Here is a 25,376-nt window from a genome sequence, read left to right as displayed (position 1 = left end):
GACAGGCACAATAAAAAATGATAAAGGGGATATCACCACTGACCCCACAGAAATACACACTATTATCAGAGAATACTGTAAACATCTTTATGCAAATAAACTAGAAAATCTAGAAGAAAGGGATGTATTCCTGGACACATACACCCACCCAAGACTAAACCAAGAAGAAGTCAAATCCTTGAATAGACCAATAACAAGTTCTGAAATTGAGGCAGTAATTAATAATCTACCAAACAAAAAAGCCCAGGACAAAAGAAATTCACAATTGAATATTACCAGAGGTACAAAAAGAAGCTGGTACCATTTCTTCTGATACTTTTCCAAATACTAGAAAAAGAGGGACTCCTCATGAACTCATTTCATGAGGTCAGCATCATGCTGATACCAAAACCTGGCACAGACACAAGAAAAAAAGAAAACAACATCAGGCCAATATCCCTGATGAACATTGATGCAGAAATCCTCAATAAAATACTGGCAAACCAAATCCAGCAGAACATTAAAAAGTTTATCACCACAATCAAGCTGGCTTCATTCCTGGAATACAAGCCTGGTTGAAAATATGTAAATCAATAAATGTAATCCATTACATAAACAGAAGTAATGAAAAAACACATGATTATCTAAATAGATGCAGAAAAGGCCTTTGATAAAATTCAACATCTCTTTATGAAAAAACTATCGATAAACTAGGTATTGATGGAACATATTTCAAAATAATAAGAACTGTTTATGACAAACTCACAGCCAATATCATACTGAATGGGCAAAAGCTGGAAACATTCCGTTTGAAAACCGGCACAAGACTAGGATATTCCTTCTCACCACTTTTTTTTTTTAGCATAGTATTGGAAGTTCTGGCCAGGGCAATTAGGCAAGGGAAAAAGTAAAAATAAAAAGTATTCAAATAGGAAAAGAGGAAGTCAAATTGTCTCTGTTTGCACGTGACATGATTGTATATTTGTATATTTAGAAAACCCCATTGGCTCAGCTCCAAAACTCCATAAGCTGGTAAACAACTTCAGCAAATTCTCAGCATACAAAACCAATGTGCAAAAATCACAAGCATTCTTATACATCAAAAATAGACAAGCAGAAAGCCAAAACATAAATCAACTACCATTCACAATTGCTACAAAGAGAATGAAATCTCTAGGAATACATCTAACAAGGGATGTGAAGGACTTCTTCAAGGAGAACTACAAACCACTGCTCAAGGAAATAAGAAAGGACACACAAATGGAAAAACATTCCATCCTCATGGATAGAATGAATCAATATCATTAAAATGACCTTACTGCTCAAAGTAACTTATAGATTCCATGCTATTCCCATCAAACTACCATTGATATTCTTCACAGAATTTAAAAAAACTCCTTTAAATTTCATAGAGAACAAAAAAAACCAGTATAGCCAAGACAATCCTAAGGAAAAAAAAAATGAAACAAAGCTGGAGGCATCACGCTACCAAACTTCAAACTATACCATAAGGCTACAGTAACCAAAATGGCATGTTATGGGTACCAAAACTGACATATAGATCAATGGAACAAAACAGAGACCACAGAAATATCACCACACATCTACAAACATCTGATTTTCAACAAACCTGACAAAAATTAGCAATGGAAAAAGAATTCCTTATTTAACAAATGGCGCTGGGAAAACTGGCTGGCCATATGCAGAAAACTGAAACTGGACCTCTGCCCTAGACATTATACAAAAATTAACTCAAGATGGAATAAAGACTTAAATGTAAAATGCAAAACCATAAATACCCTAGAAGAAAACCTAGGTAAAACCATTCAGGACATAGGCATTGGGAAATATTTCTTGACAAAACGCCCAAAGAAATTGCAACAAAAGCCAAAATTGACAGATGAAATACAATTAAACTAAAGAGCTTCTTCACAGCAAAATAAACTATCATCAGAGTGAACAAGCAACCTACAGAATGGGAGAAAATTTTCTCAATCTACCTATCTGACAAAGGTCTAATCTCCAGAATCTACAAAGTACATAAACAAATGTATATGAAAAAACAAACAACCCTGTCAAGAAGTAGGCAAAGGCTATCAATAGACATTTCTCAAAAGAAGACATTTATGCAGCCAACAAACATGAAAAAAGCTTAACATCACTGATAGTTAGAAAAATGCAAGTCAAAGCCACAATGAGATATGATATCATGCCAGTCAGAATGGAGATTATTAAAAAGACAAGAAAAAACAGATGCTGAAGAGGCTGTAGAGAAATAGAAACACTTTTACACTGTTGGTTGGAATGTAAATTACTTCAACAATTGTGGAAGATAGTGTGACAATTCCTCAAGGACCTACAACCAGAAATATCATTTGACCCAGCAATCCCACTACTGGGTATATAACCAAAGGATTATAAATCATTCTACTATAAAGACACATGTACACGCATGTTTATTGCAGCATTATTTACAATTGCAAAGACACAGAACCAACCCAAATGCCCATCGATGATAGACTGGATTAAGAAAATGTGGCATATATACACCATGGAATACTATTCAGCCATAAAAAAGGATGAGTTCATGTCCTTTGTAGGGACATGGATGAAGCTGGAAACCACCATTCTGAGCAAACTATCGCAAGGAAAGAAAACCAAACACTGCATGTTCTCACTCATAGGTGGGATTTGAACAATGAGAACACTTGGACACAGGAAGGGGAACATCACACTCCGGGGCCTGTCATGGGGGGAGGGGGGAGGGATAGCATTAGGAGATATACCTAATGTAAATGATGAGTTAATGGGTGCAGCACACCAACATGGCATATGTATACATATGTAACAAACCTGCACATTGTGCACATGTACCCTAGAACTTAAAGTATAATAATAATAAAAAATAAACCCCTCTGACATGAAAAAAAAGAGGTTCTATTTTGATGTAATTCCAAGATTTGCTTCAAGATTTAGAGCTTGTTTTAGCAGTTCTTGTAGTGCTGGCTTGGTAGTAGCAAATTATCTCAGCATTTGTTTGAAAAAGATTCTATCTTTCCTTCATTTATGAAGCATAGTTTTGCTGGATACAAAATTCTTAGCTGATCAGTGTTTTGTTTGAGGAGGCTGAAGATAGGGCCCTACTCCCTTCTAGATTGTTGGGTTTCTACTGAGAAATCTGCTGTTAATCTGATAGGTTTTCCTTTATAGGTTACCTCAGATTTTAAGATTCTTTCTATCATCTTATCTTTAGATAACCTGATGACAATGTGCCTAGGCAATGATCTTTTTGTGATGAATTTCCCAGGTGTTCTTTGAGTTTTTTGCATTTGGATGTCTAGATTTTAGCAAGGCCAGGGAAGTTTTTTTCAATTATACTCTTCAATACATTTTACAAACTTCATATTTCTCTTCTTCCTCAGGATGGCCGACTATTCTTAGGTTTTGTCATTTATCATAATCCCAGACTTCTTGAAGGCTTTGTTCATATTTTTTTTATTTGTCATTGTTGGATTGGGTTAATTTGAAAACCTTGTCCTTGAGTTCTAAAATTCTTTCCTCTGCTTGTTCAATTATATTGCTGAGACTTTCCAGGGCATTTTGCATTTCCATAATTGCTCCAATGTTTCCTGAAGTTTTGATTGTTTTTATTTATTTATGCTATCCATTTCATTGAATATTTCTCCCTTCACCTCTTTATTTTTTTTTAAATTTCCTTACATTCGGCTTTGCCTTTCTCTGGTGCCTTCCTGATTAGCTTAATAGGTAGCCTTCTGAATTCTTTTTCAGGTAAATCAGGGACTTCTTCTTGGTTTGGATTCATAGCTGGTGAGCTAGTGTGATTTTGGGGGTATGTTAAAGAACTTTGTTTTTTCATATTACCAGAGTTGGTTTTCTGGTTCATTCTCATTTGGGTAGAACCTGTCACAGGGAAGGTCTAGGGCTGAAGGCTGCTGTTCAGATTGTTTTGTCGCACCGGGTGTTCCCTTGTAGTACTCTCCTCCTTTTTCTATGGATGTGGCTTCCTGAGAGCCAAGCTGTGGTGATTATTATCTCTCTTTTGGATCTAGCCACCCAGCAAGTCTACTAGGCTCTGGGCTGGTACTGGGGGTTATCTGCAGAGTCCTGTGATGTGTACCATCTGTGGGTCTCTCAGCCATGGATACCAGCACCTGTCCTGGTGGAGGTGGCAGGGGGGTGAAATGGACTCTGTGAGGGTTCTTAGCTTTGGTGGTTTAATTCACTATTTTTGTGCTAGTTGGCCTGTCGGGTGCTTTCCTGAGAGCATCAGCTGTGGTACTATGGGGAGAAACAAGCGGTGAGTGGGGCCCTAGAACTCCCAAGAGTATATGCCCTTTGTCTTCAGTTACCAGGGTACGTAGGGAAAGACCATTGTGTGGGGGCAGGGCTAGGCATGTTTGAGCTCAGACTCTTTCCTTGGGCATGTCTTGCTGTGGCTGCTGTGGGGGATAGGGATGAGGTTCCCAGGTCAATGGAGTTATGATCTTAGGAGGATTATGGCTGCCTCTACTGTGTTACACAGGCTGTCAGGGAAGTGGGGGAAAGCTAGCAGTCACAGGCCTCACCCAGCTTCCACTCAACCCAAAGGGCTCGGCTGGAGGTTTCCTTTTCCTTGTGGCCTTTCCCCAGTGCTTCTGGCAGTCCTCTTCAAGAACCCCTGTGAGGCAAAGCAGAAATGGCTTGCTAAGGAACCCAGTAAGTCAACAGGGCTTTCCCTGCTGCTTTCTCTACCCCTGTATTTCAGTCCGCTCTCTAAATTGACTAAGCTCCAGGTAAGGTCAAAATATTCTCCTCTAATCTAGACCTTCAGGTTTCCCAGTGGGGGAGTGTGTTCAGGGGTGGATGATCTCCCTTTCCCAATTCCAGTTTGGGCACTCACAGTATTTGGGGTGTCTCCTGGGTCCTGCAGGAGCAAACCACTTCCTTCAGAGGGACTGTGGGTTCTCTTGGTTTTCCTAATGTATTCCAGCAGTCGTTCTGAAGCAAAAGTTCATGATGCAAGCCTACACATAGCCTGGTATACTATCAGATAAGCCTTGGTGCTCTCCTGTTGAACATGAACATTTTCACACATCACCAACTTCAGATAAGACCAATCTATGACCAAAACTGATCAAGACAAAAACATAACTACTGTATAATCAGATCTGAGCACATTAAAATATGTAGATTGTCTCTGCAACAAAAATTACCAAGCATACCTATATCCTTGCTAACATGAGTGAGTGTCACTCCTTTACCAATTATATTCTTAGCCTTATTCTAAGCTTCTGTCCTTCTAGATAAGATTTGTTAAGACACCCAAACATAGAATTCCCCTAGTTCCTGTCAGAATCCAATCCTGAGTGAACACCCACATCCTTTACATCCTCCACCAAATCACACAAATGAAGCTCAGATCTCATAATAAGTCCCTTTCACATCCACTTACTGAGACAATTCTCCATAATGTGTGTTGTCCCTTTAATGAGCAATAAACCCAATTTGTTCAACTACAGGTATATCCTTGGTTGTCAATATCTAGAGGGCATTTATACTCAAAAGCATATTGAGAAAAATTAGAGATCAAAATACATGAAGGGGTACACCATATTAAGGGATTGTAAGACTTGATATTTTAAAAATACTGACTCTCTTAAATTGGGAAATGACAAAATTCCAAGGCTTCTCAAGTATGAATGTTGATAATAAATTCTAAAATTTAAATAAAATGCAATGGGGCATGAATAGTCAATGCAATATTTAATAAGAACTAGAAAACTAACATTACCATATAGTAATACCTATCAAATTAAAACAATTAAGACAGTGTGGTATTATTGCAAGATAAACAACCTGAGAAATGGAACAACATTGAGAAGATATAAAAAAGCCCATACATATTTGATCACCTGATTTACGATAAGCATGATACTACAATGCCATGATGAAAGCTGGGTTTTCTTTTTTGCAATAATGGTGCTTCATAAATTGAAAATTGGTGTGGTATTTTACCATTTACCATGTGGTGGAAATAAAATGAAAATTCGACCTCTTACCTTACATCATACTCAAAAATAAATTCCAGATAATTTTTACATCTCAAAATAAAAGGTAAAACAATAAATCGTATTTGAAGAAGGCACAGAAATACCTCATTGTCACCTTGGTATACACAAAGATTTTTTAAACATAGCTCATAAAGCACTAATCACATAGGAAATTAATTGATAATGTGGACTACACAATGACTAAGAACTTCTGCTCATTGAAAGATAACATTAAGACTGTGAAAATGTAACCAATATATGAGATAAAACATTTGCAGTACATATATTTGACAAAAGACTTGTATCTATAAAGTACAAAACTTTACAAGTCAACAAGAAAAGAAAGACAGATCAGTTGAAAAAAATGGGCAAAACACTTGAACAAGTATCTCACAAAAGAGAATATCCAAGTGGCTGATAAACACATAAAAATGAGGTCAGTGTTATTTGTTACCAGTGATAGGTAAATTAAAATCATAATACCATACTGCTTCACCACTCATTAAAATAGTTATCATGAAAAAGGAAAAAAAAAGCAAGTATTGGTTAAGACATGGAGAAACCAGAACACTCATTCTCTGCTTATGAGAGTACAAATTGGTGTGACTCCTTCTGGGAATTCTTCAAAGTAGCTGAAAGTATGCATAATCTGTGATCCAAAAATTGTGTTCCTAAGTACCCAATATGAGTGTATGCAAAAGTTCATGAAATGACATATACTAGAATATTAAAAGCAGCACTATTTATTCCAAAAACTGGAAATTACCCAAATGCCCATTGCCATTATAATGAGTAAAAATATATATGTTCAAAAAATAGAAAGCTATAAGGCAAACAATCGAATGTTTTATAATCATAAACAACAGTATGCATGAATCTCACAAACATAATATTCACTAAAAGATGTTAGACACGAAAATAACTATACTGTATAATTCCAATTATATAGAGTTTAGAAATGGGCAAAAATGAATCTATGGTGTTAAAACTTAAGATGATGTTTACTCTTGGGACAGAGGGTCTTCAAATGAGTGGAAGGAGGTGTAAGGGGGACCTCTGGTTGCTGGTAATATTCTGTTTGTTGACTGGCTGCTTGTCATACAAATATGTCCAACTTATGAAAATTCATTGACCTGCATACTTATAATTTACACACTTTTATATAGAAATGTTGTATTTAATAAAAGTATGAAAAAAGAGAAAATTAGAAGAACAAATACTAAAATGTTAAAAACAAATATCTCGGGTGGGTGGAATCATGGATATTCAAAAAAATTTTGACATGTTCTTGTATACTCCAACTTAATAATAATCAGGTCTTGTTATTTGAAACTGAATAAATATTATTGCTTAAAAATGAATTGAATCTAAATGCTTATTACAATTTTAGATATAAAGAAATAAATATAAAAATTTGGGGTATAGCTACCACAATATTATAGCCATACAATGTCATCCAGGGATGATATTTTATGTATGTGAATTTTCTATGTAATTATAATGTTCACTTGAGCACCAATCTTTTTTTTAAAAAAAGTTATGATTTTCTGGATTTAAAATTCTGTAATACTTACTTATCTGCCCTCTTAAACAAAAGTTAACTTTTCTTGGTAAGTCGAGGTCATTCATGATTATACTATACAGTAAAGAATTTGAGAAAAATTAGAACATCTAGGCATTTCTGTCCTTGCACTGAATGCCCTCAGATAACATAGTATTTCAGTCACAATGTCAGCTATGAACATTGTTTCCATCTCCTTCCATTTGAATTATCTATCAATTATCACTTCTTGAGGCTACCTTCTAGCTACTCATACTCCCATACTTCTTAATATTCTGCCTTTAATAACCATTAGCCTGATAAGATAAATGACCAGCTTTTTATGAAAAGTGTTTTTTAAAAAGCTAAATATGAGTAAAAAAAATTATAATGATATACCACAATGCACCCACCAGAATGCCTACAATCAAACAGAACAATAATACCAAGTGTGGACAAGAATACAGAGCAATAGAAATTTTTATGCACTACATGGAGTACAAACTGATGCAAGAATTTTGAAAAACTCTCTGGTAATATCTATGAAAACTAAAAATATACATACTTGTGACCTAGTAATTTTACTCATAGACTTATTTCCAACATAAATATACACATAAACTAAAAGAAAAGTGCAAAAAGGTTCATAGTAACATTACTTGCAATAGCCACAAATGGGAAACAAAGCAAATGCCCATCAACAGTTGACAGGGTAAGTTGTGGTACATATTTCTACAATGGTAAACTATATAGTAATGATAATGAAAAAACTACTTTTATATACAACATGGGTAAATAACACAGTGTAGGATTTTGTTGGAAAAAGATAAATACAAATAAATATATGATGTATAATTCTACTAATATTAGTCAAAGTTTGGGTGGAGGCAAAACTAACTGTGATGCTAGAAGTCTGAACAGGGGTTTTCTCTCAGGACAAATGAGTGGGAAGAGATTGGGAGGGAGTGTCATGGGAGCTTCTGAGATGCTGTAATGGTCTGTTTCTTGAGTGGCATCATGGTCAGATGGTATGTTAAATTTATCATAATTTATCAAGCTCTACATTCATGATTTGTTTACTCTGTGTATGCCATATTTCAATATTAACGTGAAAAAACACTTTATTAAAATTGTTCTGGAAATGTATAAAAAGGAGGTCAGGAAGCATCAAAAAAAGTTCAGAATGGAGAGCATGATCTCATCTTTTTTACATTATACTTAAAGAGCGGAAAACATGCCATATGTCACAGTCACAGAGACAGCTTTTTGTTATTCATTTAACAATAACTAGAACTTTTTAGAAACTTGTAGAATAGAAATAGCTGAGACAAGAAGTGTAGCTCAATATGGCCAGGAAGAAGATATCATGGAAGGATGTACTGGGGAATAAAGATGAAGATAGAGAGCCAAGTAGCGACCAACTTGTTAAGGGTTTCAATGCTGTGGAATGGGATCAGGATGTCATTTCAGAGATAAGATGCTGCCATTCAATGTTGCTTTTCTTTATTAGATGGAGGGAGTAGTAGGAGGTTCAACTCGCGACAAACTGTGAGCTGAATTTCAGGGGGAAAATGTACCAAATTGTTTGTTTTTGTTTATAACTAGAGAGCTTAAAGATCTTATCTCAATTTGCCCCCTGGGAAGCACCTATCTAAGACAAGGAACAGGAGCCCTTCTGGGGAAGGTTAAAGACCAGGGTGAAGGGCCCCATCAGGTCTGGCCTTAATCATACCTTTGTAGCAGCTTGGAAGACAGTGCTGGTTTCTACAACACTCTCCCCGAAAAAAGGATCAGCATACAAACCACACATTTCTACCGTCTAGAACATGCACATTCATTTGTGTAAACATTGATCTCTTTAGCCTAGTTTGACTAAATTCGTGGCCCTGAGTTACCTACTTCAGTACTGAAGAAAGCACCTGGGATGTAGACAATTTCAGAGGTGAGTAACCCCCACATGTGAAGACAGTAGCCTCTGAAGGAATTCCAGGGCATAAGATTACTGAATGTAATGTTCTGTGGAATGTAACAGTATTCATTACCATCAAGAATTTAAGGAAGAATTTCAATTGTAACTGCAGATGGCAACCCTATATAAATCTTTTCCCTTTCCAATGCCGCACTGAAAAATGCAACCATCATAGTCTTCAACTTGATGATTGAAGTCTAGGATTACACCTATGTTTTAGCCCAACTATTTTAGTAGAGCTCTCAGAAAATAAAGCAGCTGACTCACCTCTTCCTGGCAAAAGTGTTTGGATTATGCCTCCCCAAACACACGTGTGCTGGCACGCATACACATACATAAACCCTCTGAATAAATAGCTTCTATTCTGACGCTGCCATTCCTGCCCTGTGGGGCCACAACAAGCTTTGACATACTAAGTGAAGAACAGAAAATCCAATCCTTACTGTCTAGCAACCTTCATCCTCATCTACCACCCATTCTAGTGCACTCTGGCTCTAGTCACCGTGGTGAGTGGCTGTTACACAAACTTGTACCTACACTCCTCTAGGCCTTTCCTGTTGCTGTTACTTCAGGTTAGAATACTACTATAAACCCTTCCCATTTATTCATCACTTAGAGCTCAACTCCTTCTTGAGGCTTTATTGGAAACTGCCCGCAATTTAACATACCCCAGACTAAGCTGTAATTCAATACTTACCTCTGTGTTTGTATCACATGTTAATTCACCCTCCATCAGAGCACCTATTTTCATCTATTTTATGAGTCATGTTTAATAAATAAGGTTAAAGATCAGATGGTGTGAGAGAAAGTAATATGCTTGAGACTGACAGACCTGAGTGGTCTCTTTCATTTATTGCTGCTTGACTTTGGACAGGTACATTTACCTCCATGACCCAGTTTCCTCATCTGTAAAATGAGGATCATTAAGAGTAGCTATCTAAGAGCTAGCATTATATGAATAAGTATGAGGAAAATGAAAGCACCAGAAAGAGTGCCTGCACATAGTCAGTGCTCCATAAGTGTTATCTCTCATTATTATTACCATTGTTTGAACATACCCCAGAATGTAAGCTCCACACAAAAAGGGAAAAATCACTATGTTTGTATTCTGATGTACAGCACTGTGCCTGGCATGTGGCATGTGGTCAGTAAATATCTGTTGAGTGAATGGAAGCTTTAACGAGTCTGTGAAATAATTCTAATCGTTAGCGCCCTCCTCCTCCTCCTCCCTTCCTCCACCTTCTGCTCCTCCTCCTCCTCTCTGAATCCTCTACCGCCTGATAGCATGGTGCTTTAAGCCCCACAGAAAAACTTCAAGTGGAGGGAGCATCACTGAACGGCTCCTCATCCCTTGACCCTTTTGCTATATCTGTTACTCCATTTCTCGAATTCTCTTCTCTAACAAGTTCGAATTCAGCAGCAACCACTTCAACCAGCCTAGCCTGCCCTTCAGAGGTGAGGGGGCAGGAATGAGAGACAAAGCATGGAAGACGAGGAGTGGGGCGTGGCCACCACAATGCAAAGACTGACTGCGCCTGCGTAGGCTGCGGCAAAATAACGCTCTGAGGCTTGCAGTCGTTGCTGGCCAGCACTTGTGTAGAAAGATCGCTCTTCACACCAGATTTCACTTTTGATCCTTCCAGCTCCAGGGTCTCGGGCTTCAGCTTTGTGCCGAGGCACCAACACTGCTGCGGTCCTCTCTCCGACTGATCGCTGATCTCACCGTTCCCGCTCCTGTCTCCTGGAACCATGTCTCTGGTAAGCCAGAATGCACGCCACTGTAGCGCAGAGATCACTGCAGATTACGGCGACGGCAGAGGTGAAATACAAGCTACTAACGCCTCCGGGTCCCCCACCTCCATGCTAGTCGTTGATGCCCCCCAGTGCCCTCAGGCGCCAATCAACTCTCAGTGTGTCAACACTTCCCAGGCCGTTCAGGACCCGAATGACCTGGAGGTCCTGATCGACGAGCAGTCCAGACGTTTGGGGGCGCTCAGGGTCCATGACCCTCTAGAAGACAGGTCGATTGCTTTGGTGAATTTCATGAGAATGAAAAGCCAGACGGAGGGGTCTATCCAGCAGTCCGAGATGCTGGAGTTTCTCAGAGAGTACTCAGATCAGTTCCCTGAGATCCTCAGACGAGCCTCAGCTCACCTGGACCAGGTCTTTGGGTTGAACCTGAGAGTTATTGATCCTCAGGCTGACACCTACAATTTAGTCAGCAAACGGGGTTTCCAGATCACCGATAGGATAGCGGAGTCCCTGGACATGCCAAAAGCAAGTCTCCTGGCCCTAGTCCTAGGCCACATCCTCTTGAATGGGAACCGAGCAAGAGAGGCCTCCATTTGGGACTTGCTGCTAAAAGTTGATATGTGGGATAAGCCTCAGAGGATCAACAACCTCTTTGGGAACACAAGGAACCTCCTCACTACTGACTTTGTGTGCATGCGATTCTTGGAGTACTGGCCGGTGTATGGCACTAATCCCCTTGAGTTTGAGTTCTTGTGGGGCTCTAGAGCCCACAGGGAAATCACAAAGATGGAAGCCCTGAAGTTTGTGTCAGATGCCCATGATGAAGAACCCTGGAGCTGGCCAGAAGAATATAATAAGGCCCTGGAAGGTGACAAAACCAAAGAAAGAAGCCTGACTGCTGGCTTAGAGTTCTGGTCGGAGGACACTATGAATGATAAGGCAAATGATTTGGTCCAGTTGGCTATTAGTGTCACTGAGGAGATGCTGCCTATACATCAGGATGAGCTATTGGCTCACACTGGCAAAGAATTTGAGGATGTGTTCCCAAATATCCTCAATAGAGCTACTCTAATTCTTGATATGTTCTATGGGTTGTCTCTGATTGAGGTTGATACCAGTGAGCACATCTACCTCCTTGTCCAGCAACCAGAATCAGAGGAAGAGCAAGTGATGCTAGAGAGCCTGGGGAGACCCACTCAAGAATATGTAATGCCAATCCTAGGTTTGATCTTCCTGATGGGCAACCGTGTCAAAGAGGCCAATGTCTGGAACTTGCTTCGAAGATTTAGTGTGGATGTAGGGAGAAAGCATTCCATCACCCGTAAGCTTATGAGACAGCGCTATCTGGAATGCAGGCCACTGTCCTACTCTAATCCAGTTGAATATGAGCTTCTATGGGGTCCTCGAGCTCACCATGAAACCATCAAAATGAAAGTCTTGGAGTACATGGCCAGGCTCTACAGAAAGCGACCACAGAACTGGCCAGAACAATATAGGGAGGCTGTGGAAGATGAGGAGGCCAGAGCCAAATCTGAGGCAACTATCATGTTTTTCCTTGACCCCACGTGAAGTCTAGGGAATATGTATCACTTCAGCTGAGTGGCATAAGTTAAAGATGCCTTGGTAAAATAGGCATTGGGGCTCTAAATTAGAATCCAGGTAGGGCTTGTGTGGGAAGTACAAATTGTGCTTGCTGTCTGTGTTCCAATTCTAGTAGTATTTCCTTCCTTTTAATATACTCTTGGATTAGGTTAATGACCAATATTTATAAATGGAATTTTTCATTTGCCATCCCGGTCTTGTTTCAGCATAAAAGTTCAGACAGCTCTGTAAAATGTATTGATAATATTTACATCTTTGAAATAATCAGTAAAATGGTCTGGTACAGGAGTTAAATAACAATGACACACACACAACAAAACAAACACAAAACCACTGATCTGTGATTGCTCTCCCTTTGTGTCTACTGCCGTATACATATATACAACTATATATACACAAATATATATATACACAAAACTGTCATTTACCTGTATTTGCAATAAAAGCATAATGAATTAGACCCTATGCTTGTGCATTCATTTATTCTATAGGCATTAAGCACCTGCCATGCTCTGAGAACAGTGCTGTGTGCTGGGAATAAAAGAGTGAAGAAGACCCAGCTGGGCTCCAGAGCTTAAGGGGGAGGGCTCATGGAAGTAAACAAGCAATTATATTATGCTATGGAAAGTGGCATAATAGGCATAAGCTCAGAGTTCTATGAGAGTCCACAAGAATAACTCCCGATTTTAAGTGCTGGGAAGGATAGTGGGAAGGTGATGGCATCTAAGATAGTCTGGGGAAGGTGCAGGGGTGTCAAGCCTGGATGAGTGGGAAAGTAGTCAGGAATAGTGGTGGGAAGGATGAAGTGGTATGGAGGGCTGGGGACAAGATGTGCTTTAGTGACATCTATTGTAAGATCTGAGGTTGGGGAGAGGAAGGGAAGGACTGCTAGTGAAGACAGAAGCAGCGTGTAAAGCACCTGTGAAGAATTTGAAATAGCTCAGAAAGACAATGACTTTAAAGGAGGAGTGGGAGAAATAACTCTGTGGCAGAGGTAACAAGGGCCCATATCCTCAGAGTGACTCTTGAGAGCCAACAATGGCCTTGCACCTTCAGTCAGACTGAAAAATCTACCTGGAGGAACTCTGCAGGGGATCCTCTGCCAATGCAGTTTATTTCAGCACCCAAGCTGTTAAGGTGAGTGTTTGCATTTAGGCTGTCTTCATTCTGATCCCCCTTACAGCTTCTAACCTGTCTCATAGCTCCCCATAAGCCTTCCCTAGAGAGCCAGCAGGTAACAATTTCTGAGACGGAGCCCTGGTATAAGGATGAGTGTCATATGGAAAATCACTTATTACAGAGGGATGGCTGCTGCCTACCGGTAGTGTAGGATCTATATGTCTTCATTTCCTGGCACACAGAAGCTTTCTGCCTTTTTCATCCATTTAATCACCGGGGGCTACTCCCATCTGCTACCTCCTATTAGATGGGAGAGAGTTGGAAGACATTCCTCACATTTTCATCAGCCTCAGGAAGAGAACGACACAATCGTTTCGCTGGGGGAGCGGCAGGGAGAAGGAAGATATGCCGTTTTGTATCCAAAGTCTGGCCGGTTGAGATGCAGAAGCCTAATTAGAGCTGTCGGCCTGGGGATGCCACTGCGCAGGCGCACTCCGCGGTTGCTAGGGCAATACAGCCCAGTCTCAGTGATCTTCCCATCGGTAGCATTCCAAAGTCTGAATGCTAAGGGCAGGGCTTCTAGCGACGAGAAAATGAGTAATTGGAAAGTCTGGTCTGAAAGGGTTCTTGAAAATGGGGTGGGGTGGGGTTGTCAGGCGGGAGAGTATCCAACTCAAAATCTGGGACCTTGGAACAAAATCTTGCCTGTGTGCTAAACAGCAATTCTCTCATTCTTCAGCTCCCTTGGACTGTTAACCCATACATGCTTGTGAGACGGGAGAGGGTATGGAAGCAAGCACGTTAAGTTGCCAAGTTTTTTTTACTCTGACTTTTTGGATTGGTGCAATTTCTGGGTCCACAAACATGTCAGCTCTTCTGGGGGGCTCCAGTAAAGAGAGAAAGAAATCTGCCAAGGGGAACATGTAGCATCTGGACAACGATGATCAATGTAATGCTGCCAATTGTTTTAATACTAAATATGCGTCAGGCACTGTGCTGGGTTCTTCATGTTCTTAGATCTAATCTTTCCACCATTTCTCTAAGAAGCATTTTAATAGTCCCACTTAACACTACAGGAAACTGAGGCTTAACTAATATGCCCAAGGTCACACAGCCAGTCAATGAGAACTGGGCTTGGAGTCCAAGGATCCCCACTCTGGGCCTGTCCAATAATTCCCCTCAAATTTTCTGACTTTTGGAATATACAAAGAAAGGCTGCATGGTCAGAGTGGAGAAGCAAGATGATAGCACTCAGGAGAATGAAAGTGAAGCTGAAATTTCTCCAGGCTCTTCCTTGTTCCACCACTGGGGCTCCATGAGAGCTGTCTTGGTATAGAGTATGCATTTCTGTCCAGTCTCCCTACTCTGACCTATGAGTCTTCTCCAGCTGAACCTCTTCAAGCCTCCAGCCTTATCTGCTTATCTCATTTAGAGAGCGTCAAATATCATCGTTTCTGGAGCTCCAGAAGTGTTAAGTAATTTTTTTGGAATCTTGAAAGAACAATGACCTGAAAGAACTTCTGACCTGCCCAGGGTTGCTCAGAGTTGAAGAACAGAAGTGGGAAATAGCCCTGTGTCACAGAGACCACGTGCAGTTTTCCAGAAGTGACAAGAGTGAGACTTGCAGGGCACATGCCTATGGTGTGGGAAAAGGTATAGTCTCTCTGTGTCCACAGCCATTCCTTTGAAGACCAAGAGAGATTTGAGTACTCCCATCCTTTAGGCACCAATTTAGAATTAACGCCCACTAAGAAACACTTAGGGGTAGAAGTGAGTGTCTGGTAAACAAGACTTACAGAGGATGCTGTACAAATTACTCCAATGCAAGTCACTATTAAGCCTTTAGAACACCAGACAAAATATCTTTCTTATCTTTGTGAACTCATTTGGAAGATGGAAAGGCCTGAGTTCATTTGCAGACTCTGTGGGCCATCAATGTCCACCAAGTATTGAAGTTTTGGCCATGTTGGGGCTTGCAGAATAGGTATTGGTTAGATATGGATTCATCATCCTGTATATATTCCATCCAGAATTCCCTTTAACCTATGATTTGGATCCTTCCTAGGGAGACAACACGGAGAATATAATCACTTTCAGTTCCTGAGTCCTAGGAGTGCCCTCTTTCAGGGATGAGTGGTTAGAAAATCTTTTCCTGCCCCTTCTCTACATCAGCTTCATACACACACAAGCCATCCAGAAATAAACATACAAACCAAGCAAAAGCTGAGCTAGACTGGCATATGTGGATTTCAAGGAAATTCCCCCTGCCCCAAGGATTGCTGCCCCTAAATCCTCCAATACTGACAATCTAGACCAACTCATAAGTGTCTTTCATGTTCAGACAAGACCCCTGCAGTCTCCTTCTTCTTTCTTAGAGGGGATCTCCAGACAGTAAGATTTCTCGTTGAACAGGGTTTGTCTTCCATCTCAATGAGTGCTCAACAATATCTTTAGGAATTCTCTGCAGGCAGGATTTGAAGATAGTTGCCAAAAAAAGTTGCAAAAAAGTGTACCCTGAAATATTAATACTTTTGCTCTCTAGAAACCATAGGAATAAACAAGCACCTGATAAGGATGGGGCAATATATTTGGAATGGTTAAGAACTCTAGATCTGGACGGTACTTTTTCTGTCACTTACTAGCTGTGTGAACTTGGGAAAGTTACTCACATCTTTCTAGGCCACTTAATGCTGTTTTCAATAAATTGATAGAAAATCCCAGTCACATATCTACCATTTGATGATTTCAGAACTGTGACCCAAACCAGTTGTATCTTAGTCTAGTGATATTTCCATGCCATACAACTGCTTTTAAAACTACTACTTGTCAACACCTGGGTAGCTGAAGTCAAACAACATCTGGGTTGTTAGAATCACTAGTCTTTGTTTTCTTTAGAAAATACTTCAGGCAAATGTTAACCCCAGGTGGTTATGAATTAGTGAGGTTTAGGTGCATCAAGAATATATTATTTGTAGACTCCAATACACAAGATATTTTTATGGAAGCATATGGGTGGTCTATTTAAGCAGACCTCAGTGTCCTACAGGAAACCACCTGCTGACTTGCCACTCAGGGCTTCAGTCAGTGAGGATGATTTCCTTTCTAAGGGGAAAGAGTTAGGGAGGGAGTTGGGAGCTGAGGCCTAAGGTCCAAGCAGCCTCTTTCAAACTGTTCTTCTCTTGAGAACATCTTCTTTGGCATGGGCTAGACAGGATAAAGTTTCTGTCCTCTAAGTGTTCACTTCTTTGGTAATATAGAAGGGAAGGAGGATAGAGAAAGGGAAGACACAAGAATAGCCATTGTTTCTAAAGTTGACCTCTCTACTGAAGACTTGACCTGCTCAGGCCACAGCTCAGACGAGCTTATTTTCCTGTAGAGGCTGCAGGAAAATGGTACCCTGGCGAAGGACCCAGCCTGGATTGCCTCCTTCTGCAAGATAAAGAGGGCTGCTGTCCTGGAAGAAGGTATTTATCATTCCAGGTGGTAAAGGAGATCACCCTGAGATCCAGCTGTGGGGGCCAGGTATGGAGAGCTGGTTGCACACAGGATTGTTCCCCTTTCTCTGTAATGGGGGTGGGGGTTGCAAAAGGCCTAGGAGGGAGGGAGTAAGAAAAATAATCTTTGGCAGGTTGTTAACATCAACCATTTATATAATGTTTTGTCACATAAATATAGCCATGGACATCCTTAGAGTTTCTAACAGGGGAGAACTGCAGAACTCCTGGAACTAACACTTCTGTCCAAACCCCTGTAGTAGTAAGGGAACTAACTAAACTCTAGCATGGTTTCTCACAGCCTAAGGCTGGGTCCCTATAATTGACCCCAAACCCCACTAAAATGACTGCCTGAGAAAGTTCAATGCTGCCAGGAAAATATACTGTTTGTTCTTGCCAAAATCTGATGATAAGACCCTGACCTCCCTTTTTTAGAGCACTTATTTAAAAGGGCTTATTACAGTGAATATGTATCTCTTACAATTTAGAAATGTCTCTCCCAAGGACCTGAGAGCCATTTCTTTGAAATGTAATCAAGAAAGATAGGAACCCTGTCTTCCAGTCTCTGTGGAAGGACAAATCCTAACTTTGATAACTGCCGGCTAACAAACACAGATGGCCTAAACACAGTGCATTTACACTGACCAATATTTTGTAGTTTTCACTTCTCTGACTCTACTCAGCCCCCAACATCATTCTCCCTTTAAAATGCCCAAACCACCTTTGCACAAATTGGAATGGAGCTCAGCTTTTTTCAGCATTGTTAGTAGTTACTGAATAAGATCTGTTTTCACTACTTTAAGTATCTTTGACACGGGGAGGATGAATAGTAGCCAGACATGTGCTGAATGAAGATAATTCACTCTCCAGCTCTGAGAGGGAACAAACTAGTTAGTCCCTGAGGTGAATGGTAAAGCCAGTACCTCTTTTCTAGATAGCCTTTATTGCCTACTCCACCCACGAGGAACCACACCCAGCTCTGCCCAGCCCTCAGGTAGTTCCACTTGAGGCTGTCCTGCCCCCCTGAAACCCCTATACACTGGAGAAGCCCAGAGATGTCTGGCCTATCTGAAGACCACTTACCCAGTTCAATTTAATAAGCAATTTTGAAACACTTGTTATATGTTGGCCTTATTGTATTAGACACTGGGGTACAGGGATGAATTAGATGTGACCCCTGTCTAATCTGTGTTCTAACTCAATACTCAGCCTTGACTCTGTCGAAATATATGAGCAATCTATTAATGGTTTTATTTCAGTGCATACCTGTTTCATTTATAAAATTTCCAGTTGTTTCTTTTTTAAAATATACCTTATTGTTAAAGAAGATTCCTGTTCTTGTCTTACAAATTACAGTCCCTTTTTCGTCTCTTTCAATATTTAAACCAGATTTATCTTTAAAGTTATTTTTACATTGATCTACTATTGTGTGTTTCATTAATTGTGAATTCTGCCATTTGTTGAGTCTGATTATTATCTAACACTTCAAACTATAAAACTACTACAAGAAAATATCACAGAAATTCTCCAAGACACTGGACTAGGCAAAGATTCGAGTAGTACCTCACAAGCACAGACAACCAAAGCAAAAATGGATAAATGAGATAATATCTAGTTAAAAGCCTTCTAAAAATTATAGGCAAGGTGGCTCACTCAGTGCAGCCAAGTGAAATATCTGCCACCAAGAGACTAGGACATTGGGAAGCCTGGCACACTCCAAGCATATATTTGGAGGAAAGACAATGAGAATTGATGGAGGGAAGACTCAGATGCTGGGCTATAGAGAAAGGAAGGTGGGAACCCTGCAAGGGACTTCCATGCACTGGGACTTGTTCCTGGCCACCAGCCACTCCCAGGGAAAAGGTAAGTTGAGCAGGTGAGGAGCAACCTGCCCACACCATGGATCTCTGGAATTCTGGCAGCAGGAGACCCCCTAACCTGCATGGACACTTGTAGTGGCAGGCAGAGCTGCTTAGAGAAGTGGTAGAGGCAGAAGACCAGCCAGTGTGGAACCCAAGGGATTTGGTGTGTGAGTGTCGTCAGTGGAGTACAGCCAGGGATGTCCATCCCCCAAGGCTCACCTTTACTCCCCTAGTGCACATGCTTGCAGTGCAGCCTTGGGTGCCCAGCTGGAATGCCTCCTGGAGACACACATCACAGTTCCTGCACTGACAGACCATGCCTCACATTTGCAGAGCTCCAGCAGAGCAGCTTCTACTGGTGCACACAAGCCCACCCACACACTCCCCCAACTACAGCCTCCTCTGTGCCCCTTTGGCAGCACAAATTTGCCCACAGCTACCCCTGACATTGCTTTGTCAGTGCATGTGCATGCTGGTTGACCTCAACTCCCTTCCCTGCCAGCATGCATTTATGTATGCACCCCACTATGCCACTACTCTGTATGTGAGCACACCCTGCCCACTCCTGCTGCACCACCATTGCTTGCATGTGTGCATAGAGACCAGAAGCCCTGGCCTCCACCCTGTGTTGCCACTGCTGCTTGTGTGAATGCATGCATGGAGGGCACTAGTTTCATATCTGCCGGTGTCATGCTTCCACACCAACACTGCCACCAACATGAATGCATGAATGGAAATCAACAGCCCCACCCCTCCCACATACTGTGCCACCACCACTGCTACTATAAATGCCCACATGGAAGCTGGCAACCCTGTGCCTTCCAGACTCCTTATCCAGCCAATGAGTGTGCACCATGCTGTGATTCCACCACTGCTGGCAGGTGGGAATTAGCATAGATTCTACTGCCACCACCCAGTGAAGTGTTTGATTGGCACCACCCATTGGAGTGTTGTAACCACCAGCCTTGGAATACATCAACCCCTCTAGCACAGCAGGTTCCTAATATCAAGAAGCCAAAGAACAAAGGTGGGGACCTAATATCAGCCCCCCAGAGTTAGTACATGAGGCCCAGGAGTCCTGAGGTGAGCCTTGGCCTCCTAAAATCTTCCAGAAACAAAGTCTGTTGACTGAGTCTACCACAACCAAACCCCTAAAGACATCAAAGAAGACAAAAAAATCTACCCAATGCTTTCCAAAGAAACAGGAACATCAATTATTGAAGAAACATCAGCCCACAAAAATGAGAAAAAAAGCAGATCAAGAAGCCTGGCAACTAAGAAAGCTAGTGTCTTCTTCCCTTCAAAAGACTGCACTTTTCCCCCAGGAATGGTTCTTAACCAGGCTGAAATGGCAGAAGTAGAATTCAGAATAAGGATAGGAATGGAGATCCTTGAAATTCAGGATAAAGTCAAAACCTAATCCAAGGTTTCTAAGGCATACAATGAAACGGTAAAAGAGATGAAAGGCAATATGGCCACTTTTAGAAAGAATCAAAGTGATATGATAAAACTTAAAAACTAACTTCAAGAATTTCACAATGCAATCACAGTATTAACAGCAGAACTGACCAAGATGAGGAAAGAATCTCCGGGCTCAAAGGCTGGCTCTCTGAAATAACTCAGTCAAACAAAATAAAGAAAAAACAATAAAGAAGTACAAACAAGCCTCCATGAAATATGGGATTACCTAAAGAGACCAAAACTATGACCTATTGGTATCCCTGAAAGAAAGAAAAAGTTTGCACTTCCCCTTTGCCCATTGATTCTGCTCAAGAAAATTCACATTTGGTCAAAATTAGTACAAAGTTCAGCTAGAAGCTTCTTTCACCCTGTGGCCCTTCCTTAATTCCAATGGCTTTGTACGCCCAAGGAAACCTATGAGATAAACACAAGGATGATTTCCACAAGCTCAAGCTGGAAACCAGGAGCGCCTACAGGGCTCTTTCCATTGATTCTTCTACTTTTATATTTTGCTAAGCTTCCTAAATCCATTTCAGCTCTAGGTAAGGTAAAATCTTTCTTCCATGATTTATCACTTCTTTGGTTAAGTTAATTTCTAGGTATTTTATTTTATTTGTGGCTATTTTAAATAAGATTGCTTTTTCAATTTCTTTTTCAGATTGTTCACTGCTGGCATATAGAAATGCTACTGATTTTTGTAAGTTGATTTTGTATCCTGCAATTTTGTTTACTAGTTCTAATAGATTTGGTGGAATCTTTACACTTTTCCAAATATAAGGTTATATCATCTGCAAACAAACATACTTTGACTTCTTCCTTTCCAATATAAATGCCCTTTACTTCTTTTTCTTGCCTGCTCTAGCTAGGACTTCCAGTACCATGTTGAACAGCAATGATGAAAGTAAGCATCAATGTCATGTCCTAGATCTCAGAAAAATATAGCTGGCAGGTTTTCCCTACTCAGTATGATACTAGCTGTGTGTCTGTGACATATGTCTTTTATTGTGTTCAGGTATGTTCCCTCTGTACCAAGTTTTTCAGGGTTTTTTTTTTTTATCATAAAGGGATGTTCCATTTTGTCCAATTTTTTTCAGCATCAATTGAAATTTCATTCTGTTGACATGATGTATCACAGTGATTGATTTGCATGTGGTAAGCCATCCTTACATCCCTAGGATAAATCCAACATGGTTATGATGAATAATCTTTTTAATACGTCATTATATTTGGTTTGCTAGTATTTAATTGAGAATCTTTGTGTCAATGTTCATCAAGAATACTGGCCTGTGGTTTTCTATTTTTGATGTGTCTTTTTCTGGTTTTGGTATCAGGGTAATACCGTCCTTGTACCAAGAGTTTGGAAGTATTCATTCCCCTATTTTTCAGAACAGTTTGAATAGGATTGGTATTAGTTCTTCTTTAAATGTCAAATTTCAGCAGTGAAGCTATCAGGTCCAAGACTTTTCTTTGCTGAGAGACGTTGATTATGGCTTTGATCTCATTACTTGTTATTGCTCTGATCATGTTTTGGATTTCTTCTAGGTTCAATCTTGGTAGGTTGCATTATCTAAAAAATTATCCACTTCTAGGTTTTCCAATTTATTGGCATACAGTTGCTCATAGTAGCCTCTAATGATCCTTTGAATTTCTGTATTATCAGTTGTAATGTCCCCTTTTTCATTTCTCATATTATTCATTTGGGTTTTTTCTCTTTTTTTTTAAGGTAAAGGTTTGAGAATTTTTTTATGTTTTCAAAAGACAAACTTTTCATTTTGTTGATCTTTTGTATTGTTTTATTTGTTTCCATTTTATTTATTTATGTTCTGATCTTTATTATTTCCTTTCTTCTACCAATTTTGAATTTGCTTTGCTCTTGCTTTTCTAGCTCTTGAAGATGGATCATTTGGTTGTTTATTCGAAGTTTTTTTAATTTTCTGATGTAGGCACTTACAGATACAAACTTCCCTCTTAATACTGCATACGTGGTATCCCATAGGTTTTGTTATGTTGTATTTCCATTATCATTTGTTTCAAAAATTTTTTATTTCCTTTTTAATTTCTTTATTGATCCACTGGTCATTCAGAAACACATTTTTAAAATTTCCATGTATTTGCATAGTTTCCAAATTTCTCTTGTTATTGATTTCTAGTTTTGCGTCATCTCTGAAGTCTGAGATGATACTTGATATAAAATTTAATTTTAATTTTAATTTTTAAGACGTGTTTTTTAGCCTAAAATATGATTTATCCTTGAAAATAATCTATGTGCTGAGAAGAATGTGCATCTGCAGCCATTTGATAAAATGTTCTATAAATATCTATCTGGTCCATTTGATCTATAGCACAGATTAAGCCTGATGTTTCCTTGCGGATTTTCTGTCCAAATGATTTGTCCAATGATGAAAGAGGAAGTTAAAGTCTCCTGTTCTTATTATATTGTAGCCTATCTCTGTATTTAGCTCTAATAATGTTTGCTTTATACATCTTGATTCTCCAGTGTTGAGTGCATATATATTTACATATCCTTTTGCTGGATTGACCCCTTTACCATTACATAATGACATTCTTTGTCTCTTTTTAAAGTTTTTGTCTTGAAATCTATTTTGTCTGATATATGTATAGCTACTCCTGCTCTTTTTTGGTTTCCAATGGCATGGAATATCTTTTTTCATCCTTTATATTCACTCTATGTGTGTTTTATAGGTGAAGTTTGTTTCTTGTAGGCAACAGATTCTTAGGTCTCTTTTTTTTTTAATCCATGCATCTACTCTTTGTCTTTTGACTGAAGTGCTCAGTCCATTTACATTGAATGCTATTATTGATAAGTGAGGTCTCACTCCTGAAATTTTGATTTTTTTCTGGTTGTTTTGTGATCCTCTCTTTTTCTTCCTTCCTTCTTGTCTTCCTTTAGAGGATAATTTTCCCTGGTGGTGTATTTCAATTTCTTGCTTTTTTCTGTGTGTGCATTGCTGTTAGAATGAGGCTTGCAAATACTATCTTATAACTCGGTATTTTAAAGTAATTATAACTTAAAACTGAGTGCATAAAGAAACTAACAAGCAAAAAGGCAACCAATATCAACTACACTTTTTTTATTATACTTTAAGTTTGAGGACACATGTGCACAACATGCAGGTTAGTTACATATGTATACATGTGCCATGATGGTGTGCTGCACCCATTAACTCGTCATTTAATATTAGGTATATCTCCTAATGCTATCCCTCCCACCCACCCCAACAACTCTACACTTTTTAATTTCATTCTTGGACTTCTTAAGTTTTTGTTGTTGCTATTTACATCTTACTGAACTGCTTAAGTCTTGAAAGGTTGTGGTTATTATTTTTTACTGCTTTAGTTTCAGTCTTTCTACTCAAGATGTCAGTAATTTACACACCAATAATAGTGTTATAATATTCTTGTTTTTGTGTTTACTTGCTATTATCAGTGAGTTCTGTACCTTCAGATGATTTGTTCTTGCTCATTAACATCCTTTTGTTTCAGACTGAAAAACTCCTTTTAGCTGTAGAACTGTAGGACAGTTCTGCTGTTGGTGAAATCTAGTTTATTTGCGTAGAGGTGTTTGTAGTATTCTCTGATGGTAGTTCGTATTTCTGTGGGATCAGTGGTGATATCCCCTTTATCATTTTTTATTGTGTCTATTTGATTCTTCTCTCTTTTCTTCTTTATTAGTCTTGCTAGCAGTCGATCAATTTTGTTGATCCTTTCAAAAAAACAGCTCCTGGATTCATTAATTTTTTGAAGGGTTTTTGGGTCTCCATTTCCTTCAGTTCTGCTCTGATTTTAGTTATTTCTTGCCTTCTGCTAGCGTTTGAATGTGTTTGCTCTTGCTTTTCTAGTTCTTTTAATTGTAAATAGACCAAAAACAGGCTCTGAAATTGTGGCAATAATCAATAGCTTACCAACCAAAAAGAGCCCAGGACAAGATGGATTCACAGCCGAATTCTACAAGGGGTACAAGGAGGAACTGGTACCATTCTTTCTGAAACTATTCCAATCAACAGAAAAAGAGGGAATCCTCCCTAACTCATTTTATGAGGCCAGCATCATCCTGATACCAAAGCTGGGCAGAGACACAAGCAAAAAAGAGAATTTTAGACCAATATCCTTGATGAACATTGATGCAAAAATCCTCAATAAAATACTGGCAAACCGAATCCAGCAGCACAACAAAAAGCTTATCCACCATGATCAAGTGGGCTTCATCCCTGGGATGCAAGGCTGGTTCAATATACGCAAATCAATAAATGTAATCCAGCATATAAACAGAACCAAAGACAAAAACCACATGATTATCTCAATAGATGCAGAAAAGGCCTTTGACACAATTCAACAACCCTTCATGCTAAAAACTCTCAATAAATTAGGTACTGATGGGCCGTATCTCAAAATAATAAGAGCTAACTATGACAAACTCACAGCCAATATCATACTGAATAGCCAAAAACTGGAAGCATTCCCTTTGAAAACTGGAACAAGACACGGATGCCCTCTCTCACCACTCCTATTCAACATAGTGTTGGAAGT

The 25,376-nt window shown here is 39.6% G+C and overlaps 1 protein-coding gene and 1 long non-coding RNA gene across 5 annotated transcripts in view; one reads left to right on the top strand and one right to left on the bottom strand.

Moving 5' to 3' along the window:
- Nucleotides 1-2,728: 2,728 nt before the first annotated feature.
- Nucleotides 2,729-25,376, bottom strand: part of LOC107985664 (uncharacterized) — a 270,484-nt gene continuing 247,836 nt past the window's right edge. The window contains exons 4-5 of one of the 4 annotated variants that reach the window (XR_007068273.1): nt 4,880-5,047; nt 2,729-4,657 (exon numbers count right to left, since the gene is read on the bottom strand). This is a non-coding gene — a long non-coding RNA (uncharacterized LOC107985664). Of the gene's footprint in view, nt 5,048-25,376 lie in introns of all 4 variants that reach the window. The other 3 variants (XR_001755894.2, XR_007068272.1, XR_001755892.2) reach the window with 3 other exon arrangements.
- Nucleotides 11,085-13,352, top strand: MAGEE2 (MAGE family member E2). Its single transcript, NM_138703.5, has one exon. It carries the CDS (start codon nt 11,288-11,290, stop codon nt 12,857-12,859), a length of 1,572 nt encoding a protein of 523 aa, NP_619648.1. The 5' UTR covers nt 11,085-11,287; the 3' UTR covers nt 12,860-13,352.

Source organism: Homo sapiens, chromosome X, assembly GCF_000001405.40.
Source record: "Homo sapiens chromosome X, GRCh38.p14 Primary Assembly".
NCBI classification, from domain to species: domain Eukaryota; kingdom Metazoa; phylum Chordata; class Mammalia; order Primates; family Hominidae; genus Homo; species Homo sapiens.
This window is presented reverse-complemented; position numbering and strand designations above follow the sequence as displayed.